This window comes from Homo sapiens, chromosome 10 (genome assembly GCF_000001405.40).
Source record: "Homo sapiens chromosome 10, GRCh38.p14 Primary Assembly".
NCBI lineage: Eukaryota > Metazoa > Chordata > Mammalia > Primates > Hominidae > Homo > Homo sapiens.
Genome location: NC_000010.11, coordinates 100,836,206 through 100,849,022, shown reverse-complemented (window position 1 = coordinate 100,849,022; position 12,817 = coordinate 100,836,206). Strand labels below are relative to the sequence as shown.

At 42.1% G+C, this 12,817-nt stretch overlaps 1 annotated feature.

Moving 5' to 3' along the window:
- Positions 793 to 1,992: an enhancer, noted in NCBI's record as "BRD4-independent group 4 enhancer chr10:102606788-102607987 (GRCh37/hg19 assembly coordinates)". NCBI's record gives its function as "activates an origin of replication core promoter dependent on BRD2, P300/CBP, MED14 and CDK7 cofactors, and independent of BRD4, by STARR-seq in HCT116 cells {active_cell/tissue: HCT116}" and the evidence as "EXISTENCE:reporter gene assay evidence [ECO:0000049][PMID:35650434]".

The following is a 12,817-nucleotide window of genomic DNA, read 5'->3' as shown; positions in this document are numbered from 1 at the left end:
CCTGGGTTTGAATTTAGCTTTATTTACTAGCTGCGTGATTGATTGTCATTTTAGAAACTCAGTGTTTTCATCTGTAAAATGGGTTAGCTTCACCTCACCTTCCTTTGACCTTGTCTCTCCCCAGTCCAGGATCTCATGGTCTCCTTTCCCTTCATCACCCAACTTTCTGGAAGAGTCGATATTATTGGTAAAATTTACTCCTCTCAGTTGTGAGGATTAAATGCAGTGATGGAGATAAAACCCCTGCCCATGGCTTGGCATTGTGCCTACAAATGGCAGCCCCATCCTCTTTTTCTCTCCCCTCCCTCCTCCTTATATTACGGGAGAATGAAATTCTCAGGGAGAAGAGAGAAGCATGTGGAGGAATGTTATTTGTGCTCTAAGATAGCTCTGATTTACCAGAGTCTGGGAAGTCAACCTTGACTTTTTTAAAAAAAAGCTGTTTTCCTTCATTACATGAGTTATGAATGCTAATTGAAGAAGAACTGGAAAATTCAGATGTGCGAAAAAAACATCACCTGTAATTCTTCCACCCATATTACCGCTGTTAATATTTTGGTATGTAGACTTCTGGACTTTATTTTTATGTGTACATAATGAAGGTTTTTTGTTTTTGTTTTTGTTTTTTTACAAAAATGGAATTATAAAATCATATTGCTTTGTAAACTTTATTTTTCACTTAACAAGGTATGGTGGACACTTTTTCATGTCAGTGAATATAGCTCTACAATCCATACCAATATTGTTAATGGCAGCAGAGTAGTCTACTGTAAAAAGGTTCAGATAGGTGTCAAGATGATATGTAATCAGGAATCTGCTGTCAGTGACTTCAGGGGATCCTGGAAATTAGGAGGGGTGCTACGGGGTGGAGTTGGACGAATACTGCCATCATAGCCAGCAAGGAGTAGGCTTTGGATATGGAAATTAAAGAGTGTCCAAATTAATGCTGATTCCTGGCAAAATTCTAGAAATGATTATTATATATGAGGTCTGGCAATGCTTAGCAAGGAGAATGATGTTTGGCAGAAGCCAGCATGAGGTCTCTACAAACACATACCAAAGGACAGCATATCATGCTTCTTTTGTTGATAAGGATACAGAATGAAGAGGTTAGGGGAATGCAGAAGGCACTGTTTTTATACTTACAACAGGGCATAAAGCAGCTTATCATTGTATTCTTGTGTATGTGATGGGAAAATGTGGGCTGCATGATGGCCCTGCTTGGAAGATTCATAGCTGGAGACTCACTCTACCCAAAGAGACGTGATGACAGGTTTTCTGTCTTGCCAGCATGACGTCTCTGAGCCTGTGACTCAGCCCTGGCCACGCGATGTTTCTATCAGTGACTCAAATGAAGATGTAGGTGTCCAGCTCATCACACCTTCAGATGACACAAAGAGGAACAGGCTTACTAATAGATTGGGTGACAGAATTGAGGTTCAAAATGATCTTGGCAGGCTGGAATGATGACCCAACATGAGCAAATGACATTTGGAGAGCATGGATGTAGAGTCCTGCAGGCAGGTTAAAAAGATCAGAAGTGCAAATGTGGGCCCAGGAGTCTCGGCTTAGAAATGAATCACGTGAAAAAGACAAAGTTTATCTGACAGCGAATTCATTGTGAGTCAATTGTGTGGCACTACCAGGAGCCTGTTGACTCCCAGGCTGCCTCGGTAGATGCAGGAAGCCTGGAAGAAGAAAGGTCAGTGTTCCCACCGGGCCCCATAGTTTGCTAGGTTCAGGCCTGGGGACCCCTAAGAACAAAGTCCAGAGGAGGACAATCCCTATGGTGAAGGATCTAAACACAAAGTCTTGTTTTTTGTTTTGTTTTGTTTTGTTTTGTTTTGTTTTGTTTTTGAGACGGAGTCTCACTCTGTTGCCCAGGCTGGAGAGCAGTGGCACGATCTTGGCTCACTGCAACCTCTGCCTTCCAGGTTCAAGTGATTCTCCTGCCTCAGCCTCCTGAGTAGCTGGGACTACAGGTGTGTGCCACAACGTCCAGCTAATTTTTGTATTTTTAGTAGAGGAGGGTTTCACCATATTGGTCAGGCTGGTCTGAACTCTTGACCTCGTGATCCGCCCACCTTGGCCATCAAACCTGGCTAATTTTTGTATTTTTAGTAGAGATGGGGTTTTGCCATGTTGGCCAGGCTGGTCTCAAACTCCTGACCTCAAGTGATCCACTCACCTTGGCCTCCCAAAGTGCTGGGATTACAGACGTGCACCACTGCGTCCAGCCCTAAACACAAGCCTTAAAGTAGGGTGGTCATTCAAGTTATTACCTAAACTGGGACAGATTGGGAGTGAAAGTGTTATTAATAACGAGAATGCATCATTCTACCTTGGAGGCATCTTTGGGACTGGGACTTTATATACTGGAGAAGAAATAACCAAAGAGTTATTATGTATTATATATGAGTCAGGAAACTTGTTTTTATAGTCCATTATCTTTTAAAAAATTATTATTTACAGGTCAAGACTGGAGGATCACTTGAAGAGAGGAGTTCAATACCAACCTGGGCAACATAGTGAGACCCCCATCTCTAAAAAAAAAAAAAAATTAAAATTGGCCAGGCATGGTGGCCCCTGCCTGTAGTCCCAGCTACTTGGGAGACTAAAGTGGGAGAATCCCTTAAACACAGGAGTTTGAGGTTACAGTGAATCTTGGGCAACAGACGGAGACCCTGTCTCTAAAACAAACACATAAATAAATATTTAAAAAGGAATATCTGCTCACTGAAAAAAATTCAAATGATAAACAGCTCTCTTCTATCAAATAAGAATAAAACTAGCACACACTTCATCGATTTGCTATGAGGATTAAATGAGTGTAAAGTGTTTAGAGCAGCGCATGGCATAAGTTTGTAAGATAAAAATAAAAATAAAACTGTTTAAAAAGGAAAAAAGCTCTTTTCCTCACCTCTCCCATCTCTATATCAGTCATATGTTTCAGAGGTAGCCATATTATTAATTTATTGTGTATATTTCTAAAATTTTAAAAAATTTTCTAAAAAATTTAAAGTAATGTACTTACATGAAGCAAGTGTGGCAAAATTTTGATAAATTGCTAATTCTGAGGGATTAGAATATGAGAGTTCATTGTACTATTTTCTCACTTTTGTGTATGTTTGAATTTTTCATTAAAAGTTAAATATAGGCCAGGCGTGGTGGCTCATGCCTGTAATCCCAGCACTTTGGGAGGCCGAGGTCAGATCACCTGAGGTCAGGAGTTTGAGACCAGCCTGGCTAACATGGCGAAACCCTGTCTCTACTAAAAATACAAAAAAAATTAGCCAGGCATTGTGGCGGGCTCCTGTACCCAGCTACTCAGGAGGCTGAGGCAGGAGAATCTCTTGAACCTGGAAGGTGGGTTGCAGTGAGCCAAGATGGCAGCACTGCACTCCAGCCTGGATAACAGAGTGAAACTCTGTCTCCAAAAAAAATATATAAAAAATAAAAATAAAATAAAAATAAATAAATAAAAGTTAAATATAGTTGGCTGCGAGTGGTAGCTCACACCTGTAATCCCAGTACTTTGGGAGGCTGAGGCGGGAGGATGGGTTGAGCCCAAGAGTTTGAGACCAGCCTGGGCAATATAGCAAGACCTCATCTCTACAAAAAATCAAAAACTTAGCCAGGCGTGGTGGTGTGTCGCTGTAGTCCCAGCTACTTGGGAGGATGAGGCAAGAAGAACACTTGAACCCATGAGGTTAAGGCTTCAGTGAGCCATGATTGTGACCCTGCCTCAAAAAAAAAAAAGTTATATACAGTTGACCATTGAACACTGCAGGGGCTGGAGTGCGGACCCATGATGTAGTTGAAAATCCATGTGTAACTTTTCAAATGGCCAAAAAACATGAAAAAAATGCTCAACATCACTAATGATCAAGGAAATGCAAATCAAAACCACTATATGATACCACCTTACTTCCACAAGAATGGCCATAATAAAAAAAATTTAAAAAATAGATGTTGGCATGGATAAGGTGAAAAGGGAACACTTCTACACTGTTGGTGGGAACGTAAACTAGTACAACCACTATGGAAAACAGTGTGGAGATTCCTTAAAGAACTAAAAGTAGAACTACCATTTGACTCAGAAATCCCACAACTGGGTATCTACCCAGAGGAAAAGAAGTCATTGTTGAAAAAGGTACTTGCACACACATGTTTATAGCAGCACAATTCACAATTGCAAAAATGTGGAACCAACTCAAATGCCCACCAATCAACGAATGGATAAAGAAACTGTGGTACATATATGACGGAATACTGCTCAGCCATAAAAAGAAATGAATTAACAGCATTTGCAGCAACCTGGATGGGATTGGAGACTATTATTCTAAGTGAGTAACTCAGGAATGGAAAACCAAACGTTGTATGTTCTCACTCATAGGTGGGAGCTAAGCTATGAGGATGCAAACGCATAAGAATTATACAGTGGACTTTGGGGACTCAGGGGCAAAGGGTGAGAAGGGGTGAGGGGTAAAAGACTACACATTGGGTTCAGTGTACACTGCTCGAGTGATGGGTGCACCAAAATCTCACAAATCACCACTAAAGAAACTTACTCATGTAACCAAATAGCACCTGTTCCCCCAAAATCTATGGACATAAATAATTAAAAAAAAAAATCTATGTATAACTTTTGACTCTCCCAAAACTTAACTACGAATAGCCTACTGTTGCCCAGAAGGCTTACCAATAACAAACTGTCGATTAACACATATTCTGTGTGTTATATGTATTATATACTGTATTCTTACAATAAAGTAAGCTAGAAAAAAGAAAATGCTATTAAGAAAATCATGAGGAAGAGAAAATATACTTACTATTCAATAAGTGGAAGTGGACCGTCATAAAAGTCTTCATCCTCGTTGCCTTCACACTGAGTAGGCTGAGGAGAAGGAGGGAGGAAAGGGGTTGGTCTTGCTGTCTCGGGGTGGCAGAGGTCAAAGATGTGGAGGACGCAGAACAGGAGGCAGGAAAGGCAAGCACATTCAGTGTAACTTTTTTGGAAAAATTCTGCATATAAATGGATCCATGCAGTTCAAACCTATGTTGTTCAAGGGTCAACTGTATTTACATAGCTCAAAAAGCAACCAAATACAAGGTTATAGTTGTCTTCTATTAAGTCCCTATAGGCAACCTTTTTGAAAATGATTAGTTACATCTTCTGATATGTACTTCCCTACTTCTGTGGCCATATCATGCTTATATTGCTATTTTTGACTTTTCACTTTATCTCTAATATTATAGATATCATATGTATTATGTGTACATATATCTATAAATATTCAGGAATTTTAACAATTATTATTCTCTGAATATACCTTAAAAACACACCCTGGCCAGGTGAGGTTGCTCACACCTGTAATCCCAGCACTCTGGGAGGCCGAGGCAGGTGGATCACGAGGTAAGGAGATTGAGACCAGCCTGGCCAACACGGTGAAACCCCGTCTCTACTAAAAACACAAAAAATTAGCCGGGCATGGTGGCACGCGCCTGTAGTCCCAGCTACTCGGGAGGCTGAGGCAGGAGAATTGCTTAAACCCGGGAGGCAGAGGCTGCAGTGAGTTGAGATCACACTACTGCACTCCAGCCCGGGCAACAGAGCGAGACTCTGTCTCAGAAAAAAACAAAACAAAACAAACCACACCCTGTCTTTTTTTCATGGATGTGTTTCTTATACCTCTCTGAGGTTATTAATTGCAGGTTTGTTTGTTTTTTTAAGCTTTCTTCTCTTCTCTGAATATTCTTTGATACTTTCAAGTTCTTTTTTTTTCTTGAGATGGAGTTTCTGTCATCCAGGCTGTAGTGCAGTGGTGCAATCTCGGCTCACGGCAACCTCCACCTCCTGAGTTCAAGTGATTCTCATGCCTCAGCCTCCTGAGTAGCTGGGATTACAGGCATGTATCACCATGCCCAGCTATTAACTAATTATTATAGAAGATGAGGATTGGGATCTCTTATGTCACCACCTATAATCATTTTGTCTTTGGCCCAATATATTTATATCACAATTTGGGGTAAAAATCAATCAATATATCACATTTATGTATATAAGTGTGTAAATTTTTTTTTGAGATGGAGTCTTGCTCTGTTACCCAGGCTGGAGTGCAGTAGCTCAATCTCAGCTCAATGCAAGCTCCGCCTCCTGGGTTCAAGCAATTCTTCTGCCTCAGCCTCCTGAGTAGCTGGAATTACAGTCACCTGCCACCACGCCTGGCTAATTTTTGTATTTTTAGTAGAGACGGAGTTTCACCAAGATGGCCAGGCTGGTCTCGAACTCCTGACCTCAGGTCATCCACCCACCTTGGCCTCCCAAAGTGCTGGGATTAGGGGCGTGAGCCACTGTGCCCGGCCTGGTCTTTATCTTTTATGTTAGAAACTTGTCCTAAATCATTAGCATCTTTTCCTGTCCATCAATACACAAAGGTAGGGCACTAAATGACCGCTTGAAAGCTCTGTGCTAATTTTAGGACCTGTTGATTAGTGGACATCACTGAAGAATGATCAGTTGGAGACCCGGATGTTTTGTGGGGGGACTCTGATTGTCAGTATTTAGAGGTCTTTTTTGGGGGGCTGGTCAGTTTGTTCAGTTTCCAGCTTGGAGGGCTGAACAATGGAAGACAGCTGCCAGCTTTCTGAAGTTCAAGATGGGGGAGATAGCTACTCCCCAAATTTAACCAGCTCATTTCAATATAACATGGGTTAAACATTGAAAACTTCAAACATATATAAAAGTAGAGAGGAGTATAATGAACCCAGCTCCAACGGTTATCAATTTATGGCCAGTCTTATTCTATATATTCCTCAGCCAACTCTACCCCCTAGATTATTTGATAGCAAATCCAAGATATCACATCATTTAATTTATAAATATTTCAGTTTATATTTTTAAAGTAAATGACTTTAAAATAACCATAATATCACTAGCACATCTAAAAACTTAATAGTGTCCAGTTAATGCAGTGCTTACATGTCCCTGATTGCCTCATAACATCTTCTACTCTTCTTTCTCTTCCTCCTCTTCCTGCTCCTTCTCCTCCTTTTAATTACTTGCAAGATTCAAATATAATGCAATTAGTTGATATATCTCTCAAGTCTGTTTTAGTCTATCCATTTTTTTCTCTCTTTCAATTTTTTAATTGAGGAAGCCAGGATATTTACCCATAACCTGGAGTTTTTGGATTGCATCCTTGAGGTTCCTCTGCTCACAGTATTTTCTGCAAGATAGTAGTTACATCTATAGGCTTGATTAGATTTAGATTAGATTTTTTTTGAAATATCACTTTATTTATTTATTTATTTATTTATTTATTTATTTATTTATTTAAGATAGAGTCTCTCCCTGTTGCCCAGGCTGGAGTACAGTGGCGTGATCTTGGCTCACTGCAACCTCGGCCTCCTGGATTCAACCCAAGGTATATATAGCTCATATAAGAAAGGCAGTAGAAATGCTTGGTTTTTTTTTTCGATCAGTTTACCAAATTATGAGTTGGCTCTCTACCATCCTTCAAAGAAGATTAGTAAGGTTTTTCTTTTAAGTATAATGATTATTCATGGATTTAAATTTATTAGATGAGTTTCAATCAATTGCAGTTATTATAAACACTGATGCTCAATTGTATCATCTTTGGCAAATGGGAGCCTGTAATTAGTGCACAAGTCCTTTTGAAATGACCCTAGTAGTCTTTCATAGCTTCCTCGCTTTCTGGTATAAGATTTCCAGAATGATCTTGTACATGTCCTGTTTCAGATCTGAAATTTTTCATTTCCCCCAAAGAGCCCTGGTTCTTTTTAATGCAAAATGGTATTTAAAGACCACAGTCTGGAGACTAGAGGTGCTTATTGCTACTGAGTTGGTTGGTTTCTTGTCTTTTTCAATGCATAAAGCCATGAAATACATTTTTTAAAGATAAAATACATCAACAGTTATTACTGATACTTCCAAATCAAATGCAAGACTATGGGGATTTTACTAATCACCACTGATCTTCCATCTGTTTTTGTTTGTTTATTTCTCCCTTACCAAAAAACTCTAAGAACATCAATCTCATTACTTATTGGCTTTATTAGTGTATATCCCACTAGGGATGTATGTAGAGTCAATTACTGGATTTTAAATTACTTGAAATAGTTTATCTATGTGATTATAATACCAACTTAGTAGATAAGTTCATTTGTTTCATTTTGCTTTTGATTTTTTATGGATTACTTATTTACATACTTGATTTTATTGTGTTATTATATAAAGTATCTATATGGTTTTAATCTATTTTTAAAAATCTATTGAAAATTTATACTCAGTGATGTCTACCTTCTACCCCATCCTCTTCACTTTGTTTCCTCCTTTCTCCAATAATTATTTTTAAAATATTTTGTTTATCTTTTCATTTCAAGAAATGTAAGCAAATAAGAATATATATTCATATCCATCCTTTCTTTCTTAAACACTTGCCCATTACACACATTTTAATCCACCTTAATATTGACCTTTTAAAAAATGTATGTCTAGGAATATGTCACTTGTTTATCCTTTGGCTCAACCTGCTCCCTGGTTTTTTTCTCACTGGTTTGTCACACACTTCTAAAAGCAGATACCCAATGACAAGAGCAAGAATGTGCTTTAAAGGCAGATGTGGATCTGAGTCTGAATTCCAGCTCTGCCCTTTACTTGCTATGTGACTTTAGACAAATATGTTTAATCTCTCTGGGTCTCATTGTCTTCATCTGTAAAACGAATAAGATAAAACCTTCTTCCTTGGGTTATGGTGAATAATCTGCAGAAGAACAGTGCCCAGCACATAGTAAAGATCAGATATGTGAGTTGTTTTCAATTGTGTTACTCTGGGTTTTCTTTTATATTCTTGTCAATGTGATGATTCCAAGAATCTTACAAGTACTGAATATGATTTGCCCTATTTCAGCTCCTGAAGGAGCAGACACCTCTCAGGCTAAGTGAACAGTCAAGAGCACTGAAAGGGGTCAGGGCTGCTCAGATAGTATCCACAGTTGGGGGCTGGCTTGCTTTGATCCTGGCCAGCCTAACAGAGCTATGTCCTGTTCTGCAAAGCCACCACCACTTCTTGCCTTCCTTCTTTTCTTTTCCCCTTCCCTTCCCTTTCCTTTCCTTTCTCCTTCCTTCCTTCCCTTCCTCCCTCCCTCCCTCCCTCCCTCCCTCCCTTCCTTCCTTCCTTCCTTCCTTCCTTCCTTCCTTTTTTTTTGTTTTTAGAGTCTCACTCACTCTGTCACCTAGGCTAGAGTGCAATGGCACGAACTCGGCTTACTGTAACCTCCGCCTCCTGAGTTAAGTGATTCTAGTGCCTCAGCCTCCTGAGTAGCTGGGATTACAGGCGTGCACCACCACACCTGGCTAATTTTTGTATTTTTTAGTAGAGACAGGATTTCACCATGTTTGGCCAGGCTGATCTTGAACTCCTGATCTCAAGTGATCCACCTGCCTCAGCCTTCCAAAGTACTGGGGTTACAGGCGTCAGCCACTGTGCCCAGCCCCCAGTTTTCTTTCTCGGCTGAGCTCTTTCCTATCCCAGGCTGCAACATCCTTCCAGAAGCTTCTTCCAGCCTCTGCAGCATCCTGAGGAAGCTTCCTTTTAAACTTGGAAAGGGCTTTCTTACTCTATTCTCAGAGCCCTGGGGCTTAGGTTAAGAGCTCCATCCTCTTCCCTTCCACTGCCTTTGAGGTTTTATGATCATGTGACATCATTACCACACTCTGCCATCATGTGATTGCATCATTATATCGGTAACCATTACTAAGTTAACACAATTACACTGTCAGATTGTCATATCAAGTTGCTGGGTTGTGTGCCTTGTTACAGTCATTTCAACACTACAATATCACTGATTACATGGTTACCTCATTATAGCCCAGTACTGTTAACCTATAGTGCACCGACCCATCATTTCCTGGCTGACAGTAGCAAATTGCCATATGGTTATACTGTTTTTGGATTACATCGTTACAGCCCTACACTACACTATCACTTGTATCTTGGCAGTGATACATCATCTTTACTGTGCTATGGTATTATAGGATTATTTTGGGTTAATACTATACTGTTACTTTGTTACAGAATTAAATTGGCCCATCCAAACTGCAATGCAAAACTGGAGACTAGGAGAGTGGGGCAGGAGGGTATATCTCCCCATTCTACATCCAGAGGCCAATTTACTCCCCTGAGCTACTTCCCTGTAATTCTGTCTATTGGCCATCATGCCCTGGCATGTCAAACTCAGGCACAAATACTCAATATGCAAAGGCATGTCATGATCTCTAGCCCCAAGTTAGCGTCTCTTCTTACCTCTGCTGGTGGCCCATCAGCTGCCAGGCTCTTGGAACACCCTTGGAGGCAATCATCTTTGCCCTATCTCTCCTCCTCACCTTCATAACCAATTGGCAGCCAAGTCCAGATATGCTACCTCAGTGAGGCTACCACCAGGCCTTCTTGGGCCAGACACTTGGAGATGGAGCCCACCCAGCTTACCTGTCCCCCTCTGTCCCTCAGGGAGACTTCCTTATCACAGATCTTCCTTCCACAGGTCAACCTGCATCTCTCTCTCTCTCTCACTCTCACTCCATTTCATCCCCCATCTCATCATTGCACTAGCCTTCTAATAGTCTCCCTGCCTCAAACTTTCCCTTCAACCACCTTGTCTGGCAGCTAGAATTAACTTGTAAATAAAACTTTGCATCAGGTCACCTTAGAAGTAGTCAGTGCCCTCCCCCCAGTTAAGGATAGGAAAATGGTCAAACAGTCTGGCATTGATTGCCCTTCACAAACTGGTCTCCCTGGCCCTCATCTCTCTCATCCAGTCAGTACCCAAGTCTTGTCAGTTCAACCTCCAGCAAATATATGAGTATCAGTTTTGGAAAGTTCCCTTTCCAACTATTACCCAATATTTCCAACTATTACTTCTCCCTTGAACAACCCCATGCTTCAGCCAGCCCATGTTTGCACAGAGCCTGCTTCTTTCAGACCCCACTTCCCTACTCTTCTGGGAAGTCCTCCTAACCATTCTCTCTGCCATTCTACTCTGCAGCCCTCAGCAGCCTCTCCCTCGTCTGAGCCCACAAGGCACAGCTGATTTGGGTCAGTTTGATGGGCTCACAAATATTCTCTGAGGGTTTCTCAGCCTCTAGCCAACCCAGCTTGTCTTGGGCTATCAAGAGAGTTCTGACACTGGGGAACTTGGCCTCAGACAAGGGGGAGAGCCAAGACAGGGCTAGGCAATTCTTCATTCAGTACATTTATTCTGGTATCCATTAAATGCCAGGCTCTGAGAAAAAAGACATTGACTCCACTCTTGTGAAACTTAACATTTTTGTGGAAAGACAGATAATGCACAAGTACTTGCCAGATGACATGTTGATGAATGAAAAAATTTGAGGAGCTGTAAAAGCATATCAAGCAGTCAGGGAGGGCTTCCTGGTGGAGGTGACATTTAATCTGCGATCTTAAGGATCATCAGGAGTTAGTCAAGTGAACGTGGGGATTGCAGGGTAGGAGTACTTCATGCTGAGAGAACAGCCTGTGCAAAGGTCAGAAGGGAGGGGCAGTGGGGCTGGAGCAGAGAGCAAAGGAGCATGCTGGAGGCAAGGCCAGGGCACAGGCTGAAGCTTCGTGGCTTGTAAGTCAAGGGTTTGAACTTGATCTCTTGCAGGCCCATGATGATCCCCAGAAGAGTGTTAAGCTGGATGTTAGTATCAGGGAGGGAGGCAGTGCAGCAGGATGTTATTTGCATTAAAAAAAAAATAACATTAGCCACAAGCAAGAGCCTGAATCAGGAGAGCAGGCAGAGCAGATGATGGCTCAGCCTTGACTGGTGGCAGAGAGCTAGAAGCAAGTGGACCAGATGTGATGTATTTACAGGAGGCTGAACTCTCAGGATTTGGATTTTGATTGGATGGGAGAGATGAGGGAGTGGGAGGAGTCAAGGATAATGATGGGATTCTGGCTTGAGCCATGGAGTGGATGATGGTGCTGTTCTCTCAGATTAGGATCAATGGATGGGACAAAATTGTGCCTTGGGTTCTGCACACATGTTCACCTAGGATGTTTGAGAATAATGACAGGGGAGTGTGGGGAGTTTGGGCCTCACCCAGTCAAGGGGTTGAAGAAGTCTTCCTGGTTGGACTAGCTGATGGCAAGGCCATGACTAAATGTGGCTGAGGGGCCAAGATAGGAGGTTGGGCCTACGACTGGGATCTGGGGGGACCTGAAAGTCAGAGGAGCAGGAGGCCTGGAGGCTTGGAAGGGGACCCAGGGTGGCCCAAGGCTTGGGTGACTCCAGCATTGGTTGGTGACAGACGGCTAGGTTGGGCTGGGCTGCCCTCTCCTCCTCCGATAATTAATCCCGCACGGGGGCCGCGGGCGATGACAGGGCTGTCTAGCGTGCACTTAAGCATTAAATGACCAATTTCTGTCAGACTAACTTCCCCAACCTCCCCATCCCCTCCCCTGCTGCCCACCCCCTGCCTGTACCCCCTCCTCCGCCCCCTGCACTCTGAGTTTTTCAGCAACTGATGGCTCCTGGTTCATTTCTGTGGAATTAATTGGTCCCTGAATGAATTCTGTTGACAGGGCAATTTATCATGTGTTTGGGCTGACAGTGCGGGTGTTGGGGGTAGGGGGTGGGGATATGGACTAGGGGGGACGGGATGAGGGGGAGGAGGGGGTTTGAGTTGGGGTGAATATTGACCCTAGATGGTACCAATGCAAGGGCTTGGGGTACCATAGAACACCCCAATTGTGGCTTCATCCTTGGCTACACATCCTGACCTCACAAGTTT